This window comes from Homo sapiens, chromosome X (assembly GCF_000001405.40).
Source record: "Homo sapiens chromosome X, GRCh38.p14 Primary Assembly".
Taxonomy (NCBI): domain Eukaryota; kingdom Metazoa; phylum Chordata; class Mammalia; order Primates; family Hominidae; genus Homo; species Homo sapiens.
The window spans coordinates 115519959-115543989 of record NC_000023.11 but is presented as its reverse complement, the minus strand read 5'-3'; the positions used below and the strand labels follow the sequence as shown (position 1 = coordinate 115543989).

General features: G+C 39.1%; 1 long non-coding RNA gene across 2 annotated transcripts in view; it reads left to right on the top strand.

Moving 5' to 3' along the window:
- Positions 1 to 24031, top strand: part of PLS3-AS1 (PLS3 antisense RNA 1) — a 44543-nt gene that overhangs the window by 18742 nt on the left and 1770 nt on the right. Inside the window, 2 exon segments of one of the 2 annotated variants that reach the window (NR_110383.1) lie at positions 16222 to 16363; positions 23337 to 23506. This is a non-coding gene — a long non-coding RNA (PLS3 antisense RNA 1). 2 annotated transcript variants of the gene reach the window in all.

Below are 24031 nucleotides of genomic sequence, written 5' to 3'. Positions count from 1 at the left end.
GACCAGCAGAGAGAGAGAGAGAAAGGAAAGACACAGAGAGGAAAAGAGGCAAAGAGAGAGAGGAAGAGACAGAGCGGAAGAGACAAAGAGGGAGTCAAGGAGAGAGAGAGAGAGAAAAAGAAAGAGAGAGGCAGAGAGAGAGAAGAAGAGACAGAGGCAAAAGGAAAGTCAAAGAGAGAGACAAAGTCAAAGAGAGAAAGAGAGATATTCAAGTAGTTAAAAAAAAAGTGTACCCTATTCCTTTAAAAGACAAGGTAAATTTAATACCTATAATTGATAATTGAAGGTATTCTCCGTAACCCTATAACACTCCAATACCACTTTCTTGTCAGTGTAAACAAGGGCGTATCCCAAAAACACTGAGGCCTTCCTATCAAAAATCTTTAACCCAGTAACCCGTGGATGGCCCAAATGCATTCAATCTGTAGCAGCAACTGCTTTGCTAACAACAAAAAAAGGTAAAAAAATAACTTTTAGAGGAAACCTCATTGTGAACACACCTCACCAGTTCAGAAGTATCCTGAAGAAAAGAAAGGGGGGAAAAAGGGGGGGTGGAATTTATATAAAAAGAGTATTATATGGTAAATTCTTGTCCTGAAATAAACTGGTTGTTTAAAGAAAGAAATATTTGTAATAAGTCACAAAGCTAAGGCATGTTGAAGAATTGTCTGCAAAAGTCATGAAAGAGAAAAATGTTATAAAAAAGAATTTTGGAAAAAATGTTGTATAATTTAAAAGTAACTAGGCATCCTGAATGTAAAACTATTGAAAAAAAAAGTTTATGTGCAAGGTGTATAAGAAAAGTAAAATATACCTTTGGTAAAAGGATTATAAGGTGGCATAAGAATGTACATTTTTACCTACATTAAAAAGTTAGAAAAAATTATTGCTTTGAAGGTTTAAGCAAGTTTTAAAACGTTAATTGTAAAGGAAATTCTGTGTGTAAACATATTAGCTAAAGTTAAAGAAGTATCATCCAGTTTTTCTGTGAACTGGACATTAAAGTAAAAGCATAACAGGTTTTTCTTAAAGCACCAACTTGCTCTTTAGCAAAAATTTTAAAAGGTTAAAAAAAGTCTATAAAATCTTACCTTATGGTCAAACATTAAAAATTAGATAAATATGTCTACAAGGTTTTATTAAAATTAAGTTTAACATTAATAACACAGTAATATGAAGATAAAATTTAGCTTATCTGGTATAAAAATCATACAAGAAGCATTGTTAAATGTAAAATGGTATTTGGCTTTCTTTAGTTTAAAAACTAAGAAAAATAGGTGCTAAAGGAAATTTCTCAGTAAAAAAGCACTAAGGACTATAAACTCCACTGCCAAGGTTCCCATATTTAAAACAAGAGGTCAATTTCTTTTTTTTTTTGAGACGGAGTCTCACTCTGTCTCCCAGGCTGGAGTGCAGTGGCGCAATCTCGGCTCACTGCAAGCCCTGCCTCCCGGGTTCACGCCATTCTCCTGCCTCAACCTCCCAAGTAGCTGGGACTGCTGGCGCCCGCCACCACGCCCGGCTAATTTTTAAAAATATTTTTAGTAGAGACAGGGTTTCACCGTGTTAGCCAGGATGGTCTCGATCTCCCGCAAAAGGTCAATTTCTTAAATATTATGTACTTGATTTATCGTCCACTTTACTTTCTCTCAAAAACTAAAAGTCTTTTAGCACATGTACCACCCCTAGAATTTCCAATAAACCAGCACCAGCCTCAAGATCACGTTCTCATCAAAGGGTGGAAAGAAGAAACACTTGAGCCAGCCTGGGAAGGACCCCACCTTGTGCTGCTAACCACCAAGAGTGCTGTTCGTACAGCAAAAAAAAAAAAAAAAAAGATAGACTCATCACACCCGAGTCAAGAAAGCGCCACCCCCTCCAGAATCGTGGGCCATAGTCCCAGGGGAAAACCCTACCAAACTAAAGCTAAGAAAAATTTAAGTCTTTTAATCTATTCTATTACTCTTTCTCCTTTCCTTATTCTATTGCTGACCATCTAGTTGTTAACATAACCAAGTCAATTTCACCTCGAACTATTGCATTTAATGCTTGCCTTGTTATACCCTGTGGGGACTTGCCAAGTCAAAGACAGCTTTCTACTTTAGAAAAGTACTTCTGTCCCTCCTGACTCTCCTCAGACTGGGCATTAGTAAACTAGGACCATTTAACCCGGGGAGATTTCGATAAAGACCCCAGTTCCAACCAGGAGTCTTGCCCCCCAATGTACAGCTTTCATGCCATAGTTGGTCCAATGTTCTGTGGACCACTAAAGAGCAAGGATAGACTGCCCCAACCAGTTTTTGTAATTTCCTAAAACCATACATTCATTTTACTAGAGGATCATAGAAGTTAAAGACAAAACAAACTTTAGCAATTAAGACAGGATACCAAGATGCAAATGCCTGGTTAAAATGGATCAAATATTCCATCCGCATGTTAAACAAAAGCAGTTGTTATGCTTGTGCACATGGCAGGCCAGAGGCCCAGCTTGTCCTCTTTCCACTAAGGTGGTCCTCCAGTCGACCAGGTATAGGCTGCATGGTAGCTCTTTTCCAGGATTCTACAGCCTGGAGTAATAAGTCGTGCCAAGCTCTCTCTGCTATATCCCAAAGTTCGGCACCCTGTGGGTCAGCCCCCTAGGGCCATGCAGCCTCCGTCTCCCAACACTAAGCTCACTTCGTGTCTCTCACGACAGGGAGGAAGCTTAGCATTCCTTGGAGACCTGAAGGGATGCAGTGAGCTTAAGAATTTTCAAGAGTGGACCTTTACTGGGCACTCTGCCAAATAACTGGAGTGGCACTTGTACTTTAGTCCAATTGGCTATCCCTTTCACCCTGGCATTTCATCAACCAGAAGGAAAAAAATAAGACATCGTAAAGCGAGAGAAGGCCCTTATAGGTCTTTCAACTCTCACGTCTATTTAGACGTAATTGGAGTCCCACGAAGAATACCAGATCAATTTAAAGCTTGAAATCAAATAGCTGCAGGATTTGAGTCAGTATTTTGGTAGGTGACAGTTAATAAAAATGTAGATTAGATAAACTACATCTATTACAACCAACAGCAACAAGCTTTCATGAGTTAAAAGAAAAACTCATGTCGGCCCTAGCCCTGAGGCTACCTGACCTGACAAAACCCTTTACACTCTGTGTGTCAGAAAGAGAAAAAATGGCAGCTGGAGTTTTAACCCAGACTGTGGGGCCCTGGCCAAGGCCAGTGGCCTATCTCTCAAAACAACTAGACGGGGTTTCCGAAGGCTGGCCCCCATGTCTAAGGGCCCTAGCAGCAATGGCCCTGTTAGCACAAGAAGCAGATAAACTAACCCTTGGGCAAAACCTGAATATAAAGGCCCCCCATGCTGTGGTAACTTTAATGACTACCAAAGGACATCATTGGTTAACAAATGCTAGATTAACCAAGTACCAAAGCTTGCTATGTGAAAATCCCCTCATAACCATTGAAGTTTGCAACACCCTAAACCCCACCATCTTGCTCCCGGTATCAGAGAGCCCAGTTGAACATCACTGTGTAGAGGTGTTAGGCTTAGTTTATTCTAGCAGGCTCAACTTCCGAGACCATCCTTAAACATCAGTAGACTGTGAGCAGTACATGGACGGGAGCAGATTCGCCAACCCCTGCAAAGTGACTCTGAAGAAGACGACAAGCCCTGCTCCAGTCACACCCGGAGGCTGACTGGTCCACGCATGGCCGAAGCATGAGAAAACTCAGCACAGGACTCATTTTCGTTAAAATTTGGACTTGTACCATGAGGACTTCAACTGACCTTCCTCAGTCTGAGGACTGTTCCCAGTGTACACATCAAGTCACTGAGGTAGGACAAAAGGTTGTTATGGTCCTATTATTTTATGGTTATTATAAGTGTACTGGAACTCTAAAAAGAACTTGTTTGTATAACGTTACTCTATATAAGGTATGTAGCTCAGGAAATGACCAACCGGATGTGTGTTATGACCCATCTGAGCCTCCCATGACCACAGTTTTTAAAACAAGATTATGGACTGAGGACTGGTGAGGGCTCATAAATGATACAAGTAAAGTGTTAGCCAAAAAAGAAGAAAAAGAGGTGCCCAAACAAGTCACCTTAAAATTTGATGCCTGTGCTGTCATTAATAATAATGAGTTAGGAAAAAGGTGTGGTTTTCTTAATTAGAAAAGAGGCTATACGGCAGAAAATAAGTGCCTCTGTCATAAATTAGGACTGTGTGGAAATAAATGTAAATACTGATCTTGTGTCATTTAGGCCACTTGGATAAAAAAAAATGAAAAGGATCCAGTCCACTTTAGAGAGGAAAAAAATGGCCCTTCCTGCACTAAGGGACAATGTAACCCCTTAGAGGTAGTAACAACCAATCCCCTTGATCCTTGCTAGAAAAAAGAGGAGTGTGTGACCTTAGGAATCGACGGGACCGGACTGGATCCTCGAGTAAATATCTTAGTTTGAGGAGAAGTTTACAAACGCTCTCCTGAGCCAGTGTTTCAAACTTTCTATGATGAACTAATGTGCCAGTACCGGAAAAACAAGAAATTTGTTTTTGCAATTAGCCGAGCATGTAGCCCAGTCTCTCAATGTCACTTCATGTTATGTATGTGGAGGAACTGTAATAGGAGATCAATGGCCATGGGAAGCCCTAGAATTAGTACCTATGGACCCAGTTCCTGATGAATTCCCGGCTCAAAAGAATCACCCCGATAATTTCTAGCTCCTAAAAGCCTCAATTATTAGACAATATTGCATAGCTAGAGAAGGAAAAGAATTCACTCACCCCGTAAGACGACTTAGTTGTCTAGGACAGAAACTGTATAATGGTACCACAAAAACAGTCACTTCGTGGAGTTCAAATCACACAGAGAGAAATCCATTTAGTAAATTCCCAAAGTTGCAAACCGTGTGGACCCACCCGGAGTCCCACCGGGACTGGACAGCCCCCACTAGATTATACTGGATATGTAGGCATAGAGCTTACGTCAAATTACCTGACCAGTAGGCAGGTAGTAGTGTTATTGGCATTATTAAACCATCTTTCGTCCTACTGCCCATAAAAACAGACGAACTCCTGGGCTTCGCTGTCTATGCTTCCCGTGAAAAGAGAAGCATAGCTATAGGAAATTTAAAAAAATGATAAATGGCCCCCTGAGAAAATCATACAATATTATAGGCCTGCTACTTAGGCACAAGACAGCTTGTAGGGATACCAGACCCCCATTTACATGATCAACCGAATCATACAGTTACAAGCTGTCTTAAAAATAATCACTAATAAAACCAGCAAAGCCTTGACTATTCTGGCCTGGCAAGAAACTCAGATGAGAAATGCTATCTATCAAAATAGATTAGCTCTCAACTACTTGCTAGCAGCTGAAGGAGCGGTCTGCAGGAAATTTAACCTTACTAATTGCTGCCTACACATAGATAATCAAGGGCAAGTAGTTGAAGACACAGTTAAAGATATGACAAAACTGGCACATGTGCCCGTGCAAGTGTGGCATGGATTTGATCCTGGGGCCATGTTTTCAAAATGGTTCCCAGCGCTAGGAGAATTTAAAACTCTTATAATAAGAGTTATAATAGTAATAGGAACCTGCTTACTGCTCCCTTGTTTGCTACCTGTACTTCTTCAAATGGTAAAAAGCTTCATCGCTACCTTAGTTCACCAAAATGCTTCAGCAAAAGTGTACTATATGAATCACTATCAATCTGTCTTGCAAGAAGACATAGGTAGTAAAAATGAAAGTGAGAACTCCCACTATTGAGTGAGAGTCTCAAAGTGGGTGAATAAGGGAGGAGACCACCCCTCATATTGTCTTATGCCCAATTTCTGCCTCCAAAAAAAGAAAAAGTAAAAACTAAAAGGTAGAAATGAAATCCACAAGCAGACAGCCCGGCGCCACACCCTGGGCCTGGTAGTTAAAGATCGACCCCTGACCTAATTGGTTATGTTATGTATAGATTACAGACATTGTATAGAAAAGCACTGCGAAAATCCCTATCCTGTTTTGTTCCGATCTAATTACCAGTGCGTGCAGCCCCCAGTCACGTACCCCCTGCTTGCTCAATCGATCACGACCCTCTCATGTGCACCCCTTTAGAGTTGTAAGCCCTTAAAAGGGACAGGAATTGCTCACTCAGGGAGCTCTGCTCTTGAGACAGGAGTCTTGCGGATGCCCCCGGCCGAATAAACCCCTTCCTTTTTTAACTCGGTGTCTGAGGAGTTTTGTCTGCAGCTCGTCCTGCTACAAGAGATCTCTCTCTCCCCATTAAGAAAGTTGCACAGGTGAGGCCAAACATAACTGTAGAGAGCTAAGAGTCTCATGACATTTTTTTTTTTAAGAGACAGTGTAGCCCAGGCTGGAGTGCAGTGGCACGATCACAGCTCACTGCAGTCTTGACCTCCTGGGATCAAGCCATCCTCTTTCCTTGGCCTCACAAAGTGGTGGCTCGAGACACTGCTCAGCTCAGTCTCATAACATCTTATACCTAGCTTTCATAGCATTTTGTTGCCATTGCCATTGTTGATATGTCTATTTCCCCAACTAGACTATAATAACCTCCTTAAGGGCAGTGACCCTATCATATTGGTCTTTGTATCTGTGGTTTCTAAGTCCCAGGTATACAATAGAGCAAATAAATGTTTGATGAAAGATGAAGAGACTGAGTTGTCTGCCAGAGTTTTTACCAGTATGTAGGACTTGACTATACTTTGTAATTCACATATCTATCTTCCCCACTAGACCATGAAGTCTTTATCCATTTTTCTTTTGTTTTTAGGCAAGGTATCGCTCTGTCACCCAGGCTGGAGTGCACTGGCTCAATCACAGCTCACTGCAGCCTTGACCTCCTGGGCTCAAGCGATCCTCCCACCTTAGCCTCCTGAGTAACTGGGACTACAGGCGTGCACCACACACCGACTAATTTTTTTTTTTTTTTTTTTTGGTAGAGACAAGGTCTCACCATATTGACCAGGCTGGTCTCCAACTCCTGGGCTCAAGTGATCCTTATACCACTGCCTCCCAAAGTGCTGGGATTATGGGTATGAGCCACTGTGCCCTGTTAGACCATGAAATCTTTAAGGAAAGGCCCTCTTTCTATGTATCTCCAGGACCGACACAATGCCTGGCTCAAAAAATGTCTACAGAATTGATAATAGAGAAAAATCTGTCTTTCGGGCTCTTTCACCCATTCTCTTCTGTTATTTGAGTAACCCTCCTCCCCACACTTCACAAGATCCTTACAATACCTGCCTTTCCATGTGTGCTGTTAGTCTCTCCTTTCTTTTGCTAACTTCCAAAGGATAGGTTTAAATAAAATAGACTCATCTTTGCTAAAGTGTTCTTAGCTAACTCTTTGCTAGTTCTTTCATTCATTGCCTTAATCCAGCTACAATATACATTGTATATAGTGGCTACCCAGTTGTCAGCTGGCATATCTAGTCCTGGGCAGAGATTTGATCAGTTAGATATAGTGCATCAACCTATGAAATCTCTCAATTTTGAACCTATCCTTTTAATATGGAGAATGAAATTCACCAAATCTAATTTCCCCCTTTCAGTTTGGGAATGCTCAAGTCATGACCTCCCATGGACCTGGGAGAAAACCTTGGCTCTGCCTTCCTCCCAGATTCCCTGAAGCGACCCCCAGTTTGTTTTTGTTTGCCTAGCAACCAAGAAGGGGCCATTTGCCATACTGATTTTAATATGAAGACATTTGGGTTCTAGTTGGGTATTCAGCTGGAACATAGTGTACTGGAATTATCTATGTCCCGTGATCTCTCTATCAAGCATTACCAATACAAAATTAATATGGAGGCCTGACTAAGATTCTTTAGTATTTTCTCATACAAAGTTGGTCTCTGGTAGGGTGGATGAAGTAATCCAGCATGTGTCATATTCCTTTTCAGTCTTTTCATTATCAAAATTAACCCCTATCCAATCATCTAACCTTTAAGGAAGAAATTACATTACTCATATGATTGCAATTTTAAATTCATGCAGGAAAGCCTTTCCTATATATTTTTAAAAAACACTCAAATATTAATGGTGTTAGTTATGTTGATCAGTTGGTATACCAGTTTGTACAAGGAGAAATGTTTTGGGCTAAGAGTTCTAAATTAGAATATAGTTAGACTAAGGATTGTTAGTAAAATTTTCCTTTTACTTTACCCTGATACTTGGTTTAACTCCCTTCAGACATCTGTTCCTAGAGACTGTTGTCTTTTCTCCATATCCCCCTCTTCCAATTAGAGAGACAGATAAGCAGTTGTCTTGAGAATATAAGGTCACTGGCATTCCATAAATGGATTCCAGTGCCTGCTACAGAAATAAGTGGTGAGTGTTCTCTGTCACTTGCAAACTATAAATTAATTAAGTTGACAACTTTTCCTTCTTTATGTTATGTTTTCAGAGGGACTTTTGAAGTACCTTTTATTGCATTTTCTGATTATTAGAGTAACATATGGTCATTGTAGAGAATTGATAGCACAGATAATCACTAAAAGAAGAATAAAAACCTTAACACCCATAGATAACAGCTGTTAGCATTTTGATTTATTTATTTACAGCTTTTTTATATGCATGTAAAAATGTTTTAAAAGAAAATTGGGATCATATTATATATAAATGCCATATCTTGCTTTTCAAAGCATCCTTGTATCTGAAACATTTTAAGCACCATTAAGTGCTTGAAAAAACCATTTTAAATTGCTATATAACATTGTCATGTGGATATACCATGGATTGTTTCTTTAATCATTCTTTTATCATCTTTAGATTGATTCCAATTTTTCCATCTTAAAAATAATTATGGGCCGGGCACGGTGGCTCATGCCTGTAATCCCAGCAGTTTGGGAGGCTGAAGTGGGTGGATCACCTGAGGTCAGGAGTTCAAGACCAGCCTGGCCAACATGATGGAACATGGTGAAACCCTGTCTCTACTAAAAATACAAAAAATTAGTTGGGCATGATGGTAGGCGCCTGTAATCCCAGCTACTCGGGAGGCTGAGGCAGCAGAATTGCTAGAACCTGGGAGGCAGAGGTTGCAGTGAGCCAAGATCGTGCCATTGCACTCCAGCCTGGGCGACAGAGTGAGACTCAAGTCTCAAATAATAATAATAATAATAATAATTTTGTTCTTAGTCCTTTTTCTAAATTTCCGATTAGACTAGAGTCTTAGGAATTTACTGAGACTAAGTGTGTGATTTTTTTTTTTTTCAAAAAACATTCATAGTAAGAATTCTTAAATTGTTTTAAAGAAAGTTTGAGGCTTGGCTTACTGGTTCATACCTGTTATCTTAGCACTAGGGGGCTGAGGCAGGGAGGATCCACTTGAGCCCAGGAGTTTGAGACCAGGCTGGGCAAAAAAGTGAGTCCTCCAACTCTACAAAAATAAATAAATAAATAAATAAATAAATAAATAAATAAATAAAAAATAAATTAGCTGGACATGGTGGCCTGTTGTAGTCCCAGCCACTCAGGAGGCTGAGATGGGAGAATCCCTTGAGCCTCGGAGGTTGAGGCTGCAGTGAGCTGTGATTGTGCCACTGCACTCCAGCCTGGGCAACAGACCCTGTTTCAAAACAAAACAAAACAAAACAAAACAAAACTTTACACCAATTTGTCCATCTATTATACTAGCAGTGTTTGTGAGTACCTATCCATTTTACTGAAATTTCTCTCAATCCCTTAAACGTTCTTAATTTGACTGACAAAAATGGTATATATCACTGGTGTTTTAAAACGCTGAATGTTAAAAAATATGTATACCATAAAGTTCTTAAACTTTCCCATATGTATTTATCTCTGTTCTTGTTCTTTATCCATGTTCCCTTTTGACTTTCGTGAGCTTTTTTATATTTCAAATCTATCAACCCTTCTTAATGTTTGTTGCAAATATTTTCCCAGTTTGTGGCTTGTGTTTTAGGTTTTCTTGTTTAGTAATGGTTTTTGAGCTTCAACTTTTTCCATTTTTGTGTATTCTAAATCTATTGATTTTCCACATGTGATTTGTTCCATTGCTTATGTGCTTAAAAATTCCATTGTTTTCAGTAGAGTTTTTGGTTGGTTTTACTTAGCCAGACTTATAATTTTGAAGGCAATGGATTTGTTCCACACAACTGTAAATATAGCTGTAATTGTACTTTGTTCATTTTAAATATTTTATAGGCAGATTTGGATGTGCTAGCTATAAAAGTAGGAGCAGCTGTAATTCCTTTTAAACAGGGCCGTGTGTGGAAAGAGCAACTCTTAAGAAGTCTTTTGAAAAAATACTTGAAATGTTGACATTTTATTGCAGTGAACAGCATTCCACATTATTCATTTCACATTGTGTAAGAGCCCTATAACTCAAGGCAACACAACACTCAAATTGAATAATACCCCAGCATTTTCACTTTCAGAATTATTTGACTGGAGCTTTGTTTCAAACTAGCTAAAATAGCATTTCTCAAAGGGTGGTCTTTGGACTCCCTGCATCAGAATCACATGGATACTTGTTAAAATGGAGATTCTTGAGTCCCTCCTCCAGACATACTAAATCAGATCCCTCAGGGTTGAGGTCCCTGAATCCACATTTTAACAAGTATCCCAGGTGATTTGGGTGCCCTCTAAAATTTGAGAATTTCTAGGTGAAAGAGAAACACCCATGGAGGCAAAGGACAAAACACAAACATGTGAGGACTTGAGTTCAAAGATAGATCTGGGCCAGGTGCGTTGGCTCACACCTGTAATCCCAGCACTTTGGGAGGCCAAGGCAGGAAGATTGCTTGAGCCTGGGAAGTCGAGGCTTTGAGCTCTGATCTCACCACTGCACTCCAGCCTGGGCGACAGAGTGAGACCCTGTCTCAGAAAAGAAACAACAAAAAACAAAAGAAAACAAAAAACAGTGTATCAGTTAATAGGAAAAGGAATAGTCAGAATACAACAGGGCTTAAGTCTAAGAGTACTGGTCTATTAATCGGAAAAAGGAGCTCTGCTAACCTCGTGTCTGAGAACGACTCACAATCCTTCAAGTTCCTTATCCTTCAAACGAGGATAAGGAACTCATTTGTAATTGTGGTGGCTTTCACCTGTAATTGTGATGTCTCTCACCGGTAATGGCAGCCCTTTGGGAGGCTGAGGTGGGTGGATCACTTGAGCCTGGGAGTTGGAGACCAGTCTGGGCAACATAGGGAGAACCCATCTCTACCAAAAATTTTAAAAATTAGCCAGGCATGGTGGTGTGCCTGGGACCTGTGGTCCCAGCTACTCAGGAGGCTGAGGTGGGAGGATCACTTGAGCTCTGGAGGTGGAGTGATGGCCACTGCACTCCAACCTGGGCAAGAGAATGAGACCCTGTTTCGAAAAAAGAAAAGAAAAAAGAAAATACATGTACCAGGAGTTTCTTTTTGTAAGGTCTAATTCTGTGCCAAGGAATCATATAGTGTTTTTCTTAATTTGGGAAAAGAATCCTCTGTAATAAGCCATTTCTGTGGACCTCAATGCTCTGTATTGCAAATTAAGACTTTCTAGAATTCAGATTTTATTTTTAGACTGTGATCATTAACTTTTTCTTTTACGTATCTGATTAGGCTTAATGAGTTAGCTACGTTCATGACGTGTAAGGTCCCAACAACAATTTAAAAAAAGATATACATGCACCCAAGTATACATGATTGTAAGGTCCAGGTAAAAGAACAAATTTAACAGTGCTTCATCAGTTTTATTATTGTTAATAATAGAATTGGAGGAAGTGCTAGTAGTGGTCAGCATCTGGAAGGAGTGGCACCAGGAACCAGTGAGTCAGTGTTGACAAGTGTAGAGTTTAAGGCCAAGTAATACAGCCCCTGAAATGAGTTGAAGTAGCGGGAGGGAGAAGGGAGGGAGAAAGCAGGAAATCAGTTGAAGAGCTGTTAAAGTCAGAAGGAGCACAAGTTATTGACAGGATCTACATCAAAAGTGGAACAAAATGTCTCAGTCTGAGTGATGTGATGTGATGTGATATGATGTGATGTGATGTGATGTGATGTGAACTGAGTGATATGAATAGCCACCAAGTTGCTTTGCCTTTCCCCTCCCCCATTTAGAGTCTGGATTGGGTTGGCGCATGAAGTGAGGGCACACCTGTAAGAGGTGACTACATAAAACTAGTTCCTAGAATTAGGGAATTGAGGGATATGGGGGTTGAGAGGTGGTGGAGGGAGTCAAGGCATGTATTTTTCTGTTGTCACACCTTCAGGAAAGGGGAAATATGCTTTCTGAGCAATGTAATTTCCCTTCTGACCTCCATTCTCTTTAGGATTTCAGTTGCCTTTATTTATTACAAAATTACTATATTCCAGTGTCATCAAATCTCAGAGAGTAACAAAGAAACTATATAGCAGTAAATATAGAGATGCATAGTTATTTGAACCCTTCTGAGGCAAGCTCCATTCATTAAGTGGAATAGATGTGGGATTCAAGTCTGTCAGGAACCCCTTAAATTATTTCTGAGTTGGAATTCTTTCTCAATTTCCCACTATGTGTGTGATCTTGAATATGATGTATATGAGCCACATTTTTGAAATCTGGAAAATGGAGATAAACATTTTTATTTAAATAGATATTTGAAGATTAAATAAGATTAAATAAGATATAATAAATAAGTTACTATTTATTATTAACTTCAAATAAATAGTTATTTGAAGATTAAATAAGATATAATAGAAAAAGAACCTGGTACAATGACTGGTACATAGTAAGGACCAGTATCGTTTTTAAATTGATTGATCAAATTTCAATAAGTCTTATCCGATTTTCCAGTATAGTGCCTAAACTCATTACTTTAGCCTTATTCTGTGGGGTCTTCAATTCTTCCTCACTAGTTTTAGCATTTTTTGCTTGTCTCATCATCTATCTCTTCATTCTCTTTGTCTTTCATGTTTTCTCCTTCCCTCCCACCTGTATTTTTAAGGAAGAGCATTGCCTTTGATCTGGAATGTACTCTGGATTCAAAATTATGTCCTTAGCCTCTTGAATACTGAATATATTCTCCTGGTCTTCTACTCAGCGGAATCTCTAAACTAGCCTCCAACTTTTCTCACTTGGCCCCTTCCTCATTTTTCTTACTATGCACTGTTCTTCCCATGGTTGTATCCAAGGTTTTTTTCACATCACTTTTCCCCATTCCAGAGTAACATTTCTAGCCCTCCAGTGTTTGTCATCCTCTCTGGCCACATTCAAGTCATCCTCCAGATATGCAAAAATACACTGACCTAAAATCCAACTAATGATGGATAAAAGACCTGCTTTAAGACTCTGGAATACACTGCACTTAGAGTTAACACTCACTTCTTACCACTATTATTTAATTTTATTTAATATAATTAAACCTCTCTATCTACCCATAGGGGACCAAGAAGTTTAGATTTTGTCTATGGGGAAAATGCTAAAACCTTTCTCCTCCTTCTCTCTGAGTCCAAGTAGTCCTGGATAACAGAAATCTAAAGTCTTTTATTTCAAGTTAATAAAAGGAAAGAAGTTCTTTTTGGAGATATTTGCTTGGAAGCCCCACACATCTGGGTATGCCTCTGATCATTGTACACACACACACACACACACACACACACAAATATATATATATAAACAGTTCACACATTCATTCATTCAACAAATCTATCTATCTATATATATACCTACCTATCTATCTATCTATCCATTTTTGAGACACGGTCATGCTCTGTCGTTCAGGCTGGAGTGCAGTGGCATCAATCATGGCTCACTGCAGCCTCGAACTCCTGAGCTCAAACCATCCTCTCACCTCAGCCACCCAAGTAGCTGGGACTACAGGTGCAGGCTACCACGCCCAGCTACTTTTTATTTATTTATTTATTTATTTATTTATTTATTTATTTTGGAGACAGAGTCTCACTGTGTTGCCCAGGCTGGTCTCAAATTCCCGACTTGGCCTCCCCAAATGCTGGTATTACAGGCATCAGCCACTGCGCCTGGCCAAATTCAACAAATATTTATCGAAAACCTATGACACTTCCCCTACAAAAAAAGACAAAACAAAACAAAAAACAAAACAAAAACAAAAGCTATGATGTGATGTGACTGGGCATGGTGTCTCACCCCTGTAATCCTAGCACTTTGGAAGGTCGAAGCGGCAGGATGGCTTCAACCCAGGAGTTCGAGACCAGACTGAGCAAGAGAGGGAGAGTGTCTGTATTAACAACAAACAAACAAACAAAAAACTAAACTAAAAGAAACTGTGGTGTATAATATAAAATTCTGGCTGAGCAGATTAAGATGAGCAAACTACATGGTTGAATAGGGGAGATGAACCATGCACACAACTATAATACACAGCAAGAAGGAATAAACGACACATGGTGGTACAAATGAAATAGAATATGTCTTTACAGAAGAGAGAGATTTCTCCAGGCTGAAACCTTATGTAATTAATTTCCTTCAGTGACTGACCAAATAATATGTCGGTTTCATGAAGCAAGCCTCAGCTACCAGATGTTAAAATATTTCAACTCTACAGCAGCAGCTAGACAACATCCAAAAAAAATTTAAACTCAACATAAGGAAGAAATGAAATTCAATTGCTTCAACAATGAGCATAGTGTAATTGGATGAGGGCCGCCTGTTGGCATCAAAAGGTCCTGACAATTGCAGCGATCCATTTGTAAAGCCTTCTTTCTTTTCCTCAGGTTGTGGAAATAAAACAGTCCTCAAGAGTAAAGTGGAGAATTTCCAATTTTGTCCTTTAATAAATGAGTTGTTGGCATTGTATAGAATGAAAATAATGATACGTCTTTTTCCACCAAAGCATAATGACCCTTGTGGCCTTTCTCTCCACTCTGTACCCTGTACTTTAGATGGTAAGCAGCAATTTGAGTGGCAACATTGAAAAAGATGTTAACCCTCTGTTGCTCAGCAAGTACTAAGCAGATACAGAGCCTACATTGTGCTCACTGCGCCAGGACTAATAGCAAAGTGGTGTTCCTGAATTTTTCCCCTTCCTCCAAGCTCACTGAAACATAAAGTCTGGCATTAATAAATAAATACAACATTCTGATTGAGAAGGTAGTGCATCCACGGATAACTGGAAAACTTACAATCCTAGAACTTTGTCTTACATTGATGTTGACATCGTATAGGAACTTAGAATCTAATTTCTGTAAATAAATTTTGCAAAACGTTTACGAAAATCATGGAACAGTTAGGTTTCAAAAATTTTTTTTACAGTCAGGGAAGAAAGAGTTTCCCCCGCCCCCACCCCTGCACACAGCGGTGTAAAAATGCTTTGTTTTTTAAAGGACGTTAAATTATAAAACCCAGCTCTGAATTTTAAATGCCACAGACGTGAGGGTATAACACCTTATTAGGTTGCCAGATTTAGCAAATAAAATTACAGTATGCCCAGTTAAATCTGAATTTGAGATAAACAACAAATAATTTTTTTTAGTATAAGTATGCCTCATGCCATATCTAGCAACCTTAACCTTAGAAAACCATGCTTGATTATGTAATATTCCAGCTGACTGGTTAATTTTTAGGAGGCAGGTTTGCTTTTTATTCCCTGGGTTTTCATCTTTTCCCATTCCTGCATGTCTCCTCAGCATATGAGATTTTTTTGAATGAATGGAAAGATCTTCTGTGAAGAAGACCATTCAGTTCATAAATGAATTATTTTAAAGCCCTGAACCCCTCTGCAAAAAAAAAAAAAGTGAACAAAAAGCCCCTTTTTGGTCCTCTTTTTGTGCTGTTACAATTGCTCTTCACTTGTTGATCTGGGTTTAATCATTCAGATAAGTGCTTCAACTTTAAGTGCCTCAATTTTCTGCTGTTCTGAATATGAAGGCTCAGTATAAATGGGTGGGGGAGGGAGGGAGTCTATGGCACTGAGTCACATCAATTTGAAAAATAAGTATGTAGACCTCATGTGGACTTTTCCTGTAATTAAAGACTCTCACTTCCCAAAATATATAAATCAGATGCTTTACCTGTTCTGATCATTTCAATGAACATTCAATTCATGCGTCCATCAGAGGGTTCACAAATGCACGAAAAGTTCATAATTCAGGCTGGGCATCATGGCTCATGCCTGTAATCCCAGCACTTTGGGAGGCTGAGGTGGGAGGATCGCTTGAGACCAGGAATTCAAGACTGGCCTGGGCAACAGAGTGAGACCTCGTTTCAACAACAAAAAAAATACATCTTCTTCACACTTTTTTTTTCCAGACATGGTCTTGCTCTGTTGCCCAGGCTGGAGTGCAGTGGCATGATCATAGCTTACTGCAGCCTCAAATTCCTGGGCTCAAGTGATCCTCCCACCTCAGCCTCCAGCATAGCTGAGACTACAGACACATGCCACCACACCCAGGTATGCAACCAAAACTTGTAGGAAATATTACTGATTTTTAGTATTTGCTTTATTGTGTCATAAGAAAACCTTTTTACAAAACTTGAGACATCTTCCTATTAAGGTTATAATTCCATTATGGCAGACATATGTGATGTTGAAATCACTTTTAAAATCATTATATTTTAAAAATTATTGCTTTTGAAACATTTCTTGTACTTTCTTCAACTTTTTTATTAAAAATATGATTTTTACACCCTCTTCTTTTGAAGTCATTTGCAGAAGGACATGCAACAATAAGTGCCTGAACTGTCTCTAGAAATGCATAAGAACTCTATTTAGGCCGGGTGCGGTGGCTCACACCTATAATCCCAGGACTTTGTGAGGCTAAAGCAGGAGGATTGCTTGAGGCCAGGAGTTCAAGACAAGCCTAGGCAATATATTAAGACTTTGTTTCTACAAAAATGAAATAAAATAAAAGGCATGATGATGCACGCCTGTGGTGTCAGCTACTTGGGAGGCAAGGTGGGAGGCTAAGGTGGGAGGATCACTTGAGCCCAGCAGGTCAAGGTTGTGGTGAGCAGTGATTGCACCATTGCCCTTCACCTTGGGCAACAGAGGAAGACCCTGTCTCATAAAAAGAACTCTATTTAGGCTCTTTCATATATAACATCTGCCCTCTCAGGAATCTTTTTAATGGAAAAACATTGATGTCCTTCTGTTTATGATGATTATTTCATCTTTTGTTTAACCTTCAAAAACCTACAAAAGTTTTAAAAGATGTCATGTCTAGTATCTCAGGATACTAGAAATTGAAAGAAACTTTCTCAATTTGGCCAAAGTTGTCCATGAAATCTTTGTAGCCTATATCACATTAATGGTTTAAAAAAGTGAATGCTTTTCGATAGAAAAGAGGACATGAAATGTTACCAACTCATAGAAATGATAAATACTCAAGGTGATGGATACCTCACGTACCCTGACTTGATCATTACACATTTTATGCATGTAAGAAGCACTCACAATTTCCCCATAAATATGTCAAATATTATGTATCAATAAAGGGGAAAAAAGTGAAAGGGTTGCTCTTAAGATCAGGAACAAGATGAGGAGGTTTGCTCTCACCAATTCTATTCGACATCATACTAGAAGTTCTACTCAGTGTAATAAGGCAAGAAATAAAAGGCATCCAGACTGGAAGGAAAGCAGTTAAGGCTCTCCTTATTCACACATAACATGATCTTCTACAGAGAAGAATCTACAAAAAAATCTACCAGATATAATAAGTCTGTCGTCCAGTCTGGAGTGCAGTGGTGCTATCTTGGCTTACTGCAACCTCTGCCTCCTGGGTTCAAGCGACTCTCTTGTCTCAGCCTCCTGAGTAACTGGGACTACAGGCGTACCCCACCACACCCAGCTAATTTTTGTATTTTTAGTAGAGACGGAGTTTCACCATGTTGTCCAGGCTGGTCTTGAACTCCTGGCTTCAAGTGATCCACCCACCTCGGCCTCTGAAAGTGCTGGGATTCCAGGCATGAGCCACCACGCCCAGCCACTTCTGTTATCATTTTAAAAGCAAGAAAGTTCCATTAAACAGAAATCTTTATATACTTTTTTTTTTTCAGCCTTGCTGAGAATGAACTCCCGTATGGTTGGTATGCATGGAGATGTACTGCCTGATTAATTTATCTTATACTTTTGGGCGCAACCAATTAAAACTTGTGGCAGTCTCTTATTTTTTCTTTCTTTCTTTCTTTTTTTTTTTTTTTTTTTTTTTTGATAAAGACAGGGTGTTGCCATGTTGCCCAGGCTGAACTCGAACTCCTGGGCTCAAGTGATTCTCCTACATCAGCCTCCCAAAGTGCTGGGATTACAGGCATGAACCATCACGCCCGGCCTGAGTCAGTCTCTTGAAGTCAGAAGTACACTAGACCGTAAAACTGGAGACCTAGTTGTGCTCCAGCTGTGCCAACATTTAGTTTCACGATATGCAGCAAGCCACTTCACCTCTCTCGGCTTGAGTTTCCTCATTTAGTAAAGTAGGTGGTTAACAGAGGATCACTCCTGTTCCGCTTCTAAGACTTATTATTTAAGATATATAGAGAGTTTAACATCAATTTTATTATCACTTGAGACACCACTTCAGTGCTGCAACTTGAGCATTGAAGAGCAGAGCAAAACACTTCATAAATGCAGGTAAGAGTGGATATTTTGGTCTGACTCAGATAATTGCCTTAGTTATAAATTGGCATTGTAGATCTATCTACAATGTATGTTAATAATATCAAAAAATAATAAAATAAAATCCCCAGAATTTTCTGCTTTCCCAAATAAGCTCATTAAGTGTAAAGAAAGAACTAGTTTTTAAGATCTTCTGATTTAGACATTCAAAGTATTGAAAGGGTAGATTCCAGATTGATAACCATAAGGGTCTTTAAAGTGGCATTTTTAGGCAGGGCGTGGTGGCTCATGCCTGTAATCCCAGCATGTTGGGAGGCCAAGGCGGGTGGATCTCCTAAACTCGGGAGTTTGAGACCAGCCTGGGCAGCATGGAGAAACCTCGTTTCTGCCAAAAATACAAAAACAACAACAGCAACAACAAAAAAAAGCCAGGCATGGTTGCATGCCTGTGGTCCCAGCTACTCAAGAGGCTGAGGTGGAAGGATCGCTTGAGCTGGGGAGGCAGAGGTTACAGTGAGTTGAGATTGCACCACTGCACTCCAGCCTGGGTGACAGAGTGAGATTCCATCTCAATAAATAAATAAATAAAGTAGCATTTTAAAAAAGTATCTGCAGTTTTATTCTTATGCTAAACATCTAGGCCCTGTTTTGAAGGCACATACACCACACTTTTATACTCAATCAAGCAGATAGCCAAGTTGTCAGTGTGCATGTCTTACCAATAATGTTATATTGATTTCTCTGTAATTGTTTCTTTAGTGCATTGAGGTGTTATAGTATAAAATCATTAATCTTGAACTTTGAGTACCTTTATATTTTTTGAAAATAACAAAAAGTGATGTAGTATGCCCTGTTCCATATAGAATATGAACCTTAGAATAGATGCTGTGCTACACAGTTATCATTCCTTTTTCCCCATTCTCTCTATCAGTGTGATCTATTCACCTACTCATATCCAGAAATAAAATTTGTTTTGTTTTGTTTTGTTTTCTTTTCTTTTCTTTTTTCTGAGACAGAGTCTCCCTCTCTCACCCAGACTGGGGTGCAGTGGCATGATCTTGGCTCACTACAACCTCCACCTCCCGGGTTCAAGTGATTCTTGTACCTCAGCCTCCTGAGTAGCTGAGACCACAGGCACCCACCACCAAGCCTGGATAATTTTTGTATTTTCAGTAGAGATGGGGTTTTACCGTGTTGGCCAGGCTGGTCTTGAACTCCTGACCTCAGGTGATCCGCCTGCCTCAGCCTCCCAAAGTGCTGGGATTACAGATGTGAGCCACCATGCCCAGCCTAAAATTTGTTGATATTTAGTTTGTTACAGAAGAAGGAGGATTGAAATAAAAATAAAATATATTTATTATGTAATGACTGGTAACTGATTTTGTATTCATGTACAGATAGAATAACTCTACATTCTGAGAATTCAAAACCTTTTGGACAATTAAAATATTAAGAAACATGATCTATCTTGCTTCAATTGCTTGTTTTTAGCGAGTTTAAATATTTCACTAAACTTCATAGCTTTGAATGCATCAAGGTCTCTTCAGAGTTTTTCAGTGGGTAACAAACTTATGTGTGTGTGTGTGTGTGTGTGTGTGTGTGTGTGTGTGTGTGTTTCAAATTTGCCACTGCGGAAACTGTAAAAAAGAATATATATATATATATTCCCTGTTGCTCAAGCGATTGTCCCACCTCAGCCTCTTGAGTAGCTGGGACCACAGGCACGTGACCATGGCAGGCTATTTTTTTTTTTTTTGTATTTTTGGTAGAAATGGGACTTCTCCATGTTGCTCATTTTGTATTTTTGGTAGAAACGGGGTTTCTCCATGTTGCCCAGGTTGGTCTCAAACTCCTGAGCTTAGGAGATCCACCCGCCTTGTCCTCCCAACATGCTGGGATTACAGGCATGAGCCACCACGCCCTGCCTAAAAATGCCACTTTAAAGACCCTTATGGTTATCAATCTGGAATCTACCCTTTCAATACTTTGAATGTCTAAATCAGAAGATCTTAAAAACCAGTTCTTTACACTTAATGAATTTATTTGAGAAAGCAGAAAATTCTGGGGATTTTATTTTATTATTTTTTGATATTATTAACATACATAATGTTATACAAAGAATATACATATATTTTTTACAGTTTCTACAGTGGCAAATTTGAAGTATGGTAAATGTTGCTTCTGCATTCCAATTTGATAATGAGCCTTAACCTTGTCCATTTCATTCCATTAAAAGAGGAAAAAAAGTAGTTACTGGCAAAGCAAATGGCTCATAAAGTAATCTGAGTGATGGAAAAAGAACAGTTCTCAGCATGGAATGAAAATATCTTTCACCAAGGATGAAGTAGAATTATAGAAGTACTCCATCTGTAGCTACTTTTTACATTTAATAGTCTTAAATAAAATTCCCCTTGAGTATCTCTGACCATTGAGGTCTGAGAGCCTGAAACATGATGAAATTTACAATCTGGGCAGTCATAAAGAAAGTCCTACATTTTTTTCAGGCTTTGAGGGGAATGGGCATTCTATTATGCCTATTCCGTTGGTCACCTTGGGTCTTATAAATTTCTTTATAAATTTGCCATACAAACTTTTATTTATTTTTATTTTATTTAATTAAAATGTTTTTCTTTTTTCATAGTGATGGGGTTTCCACCGTGTTGCCTAGGCTGGTCTTGAACTCCTAGGCTCAATGAATCCTCCCATCTCAACGTCCCAAAGTGCTGGGATTATAGACGTGAGTCACTGTGTCTGGCTGCAAACTTTTGGATATTTTTCTTAAAATAAAAACTTTTCTAACATATACTTGTTTTGTGATGTCAAGATGGTCCAGGGGATCTTAACAAATAATAAAGAAGCCTTTCATGATACAAGGATCAAGACTTAGGTTCTAATATCAGTTTTATTGCACAATTATTGTGTAGTATTGGAAAAGTCCAGTCATCTTTCTAATAATTTATTATAAGGCTTAAGTGCAAATATGCTTAAAAGGTTCTTTTTAATCATAAAGCATTATGCAAATGTGACATATTTTCTCCAAACAGCCACCTAAATGAAAGTGGTGGGTTTTCAATTATCTGAGGCATAAACCATGAATCTATGTACTTTGACTACACATATGAGATGAAGATTAGCCTTGTGGTTGCTTATTAGATTGAAATGCTTTTGCATACATATTCATATAGAATACTTACAAATCAAATGTCAACTTTGTTATTTATATAGTGTTGACAATGATGATAATAGGTAACACTAATTAAGCACTCCGTATACATCATGCCTGGTGCTAAGCAGTTTCCATATGTTACCTAACTCAACAGTTGAAACGACCCTGTATTATAGAGAGGAAAGAGATAAAGCCAGGATTATAGATTGAAGCAATCCAACTCCTCTCTTAGCCATTATATTTTTATGCCTTCCAATACTCTTAAAAATCTGCTGTCTGTCAACTTTTTATTTCTGGCAGAGCATTCTTCAGAATAAATGCAAGACAAATCCTCCAGAGAGGCTTCTGGAAACTACAGACTCCAGATAGTCTCATGATACATTGAGTAATCTGGTTAAATGGAGAGTAAACATTAGGATTATGAAAACACAGAAGCACAGAACTTAATGGAGAGAACCTGCTTGATTTCCATAACAGAAAATCATGCTATACTAGAGTTTGGGATAAGTAGAAAGTAGATACAAAAGTGGGAGCCTCAGACAAAAGAACTTTAAATTTAAAAAAAAAAAACCACCTTTGAAAGTTTTTAAACCAAAAAGTTTTGATTACAGTCCACATAGCATTGCAGGACATGTAATGTAAGAGCTTAGAGATGAGTGGGAGGAGCTGATGGGGAATTTTGCAGGCAATATGACCACTCTGTAATTGTAATTGACAACTTGTCAATTACCCAAGGTCTTCCATACCCCTTGTGCCATCTGGTAATCACAGTATTCTGGTGAGGAAAATAGAACAGATTCTATTATGCCATTTTAGAGATATTTTAACTGTTAATGGCAGAATCTTCTTAAAATTAGCCTTGAGATTGGTCTAAATTATCATTTTCACAAATTATCTTTGAAGAGAAAGTACATGAGTACATTGGTCCCAACCCACATTTATAACCCCAGCATCCATCATGACTTTATTCACATTATATTCTAGCTAGACAGAATTACTCCCCAGGCAGTTATACATCTTTACCCATTGCTTTTTTTTTTTTTTTTTTTTGAGACAGGGTCTCTTTCTGTTGCCCAGGCTGGAGTGCAATGGCACAACCATAGCTCACCATAACATCAAATTTCTTTGTCTCAAGCGATCCTCCTGCCTCAGCCTACTAAATATGTCGGACTACAGGCAAGTGCCACCATGCCCAGCTAGTTTTAGAGGGGGTTTTATTATGTTGTCCAGGCTTGTCTTGAACTCCTGGGCTCAAGAAATCCCCCTGCATCAGACTCCCAAAGTGCTGGGATTACAGGTGTGAGCCATTGCGCCTGGCCTCTACTCTTTTTTTTTTCCTACCATACAAGCCCATCCCAACAACTTATCTCTATTCATATTGGCTTTTCAAATCACATCTATATTTCCACCCCTAAAATCTCCTTACTTCTTGATTTCTTCAAGCATATGTTAAAATGACAAGTTCTGAGTTGTCATCCCTGGAAAGGGTGCCAAGGGTCCTTTATAGACTCTCTCCTGAAGACAGCTGCCCAAGTATTGTTTCGGTCAAAATAATCAGGAAAATGTTGAACATCATTAAGAAAAATTGGAGGAAAAACCAGTAAGCAGTCATTCTATTTTTTTTTTTTTTTTTTGTAAATCCTTGAGGTGTCTGCATCCGGGCTCTTTTTTGTAGTTCTGGTCTATGTACAAGACAGGAATAATAGAGTTGGAGAAGACCCTGAGACGAGCAACTGAAACGGTGAAGGGGACGGAAAGCAAGGCGGGATATAAGCTATATATAAAATGATAACTCTTCATATTAAAACTGGCTAAAGGTAAGCGTCATCAGAGAGCTGTGTGGCTGCCAGATTTTGTTACTGGTATCTTGCCAGAGCATATGTCCTAAACAGTTTTATCTCCAGTGGCCTCATCCTTGGGCTGTAGTTTGGCTATTCTATTTTCTCTAACTCAATTTCTTGAATTTCTGACAATTTCTTCAGTCCCACACATCCCCATTTACCAGGAGCTTCTCATTACAGAGTGGTGAATGTCAGGATGCCCTTACCTACAGGTAAGGGGCAGGTGAACAGTCTTATTTATGTTCATACGGGTTCTAGTTTGATTCTCCCCCCAGGCCAATTGTCATACTCTTTAGGCTACCTGGGCCTCAACTAAGTTGTGTACATCAGAATCACCTGGGGAACTATAGATCTATGAATCATTTATCACTTAATTTCTCTATTGTGGAAAATCAGGATGTCATGTATGTATTTCTTTAATACAGAACATAACTAAACAAACAACAAAAATGAATCATTAAATAGAAAACTGCTTTTGGTCTAATGTTTTATACACACACA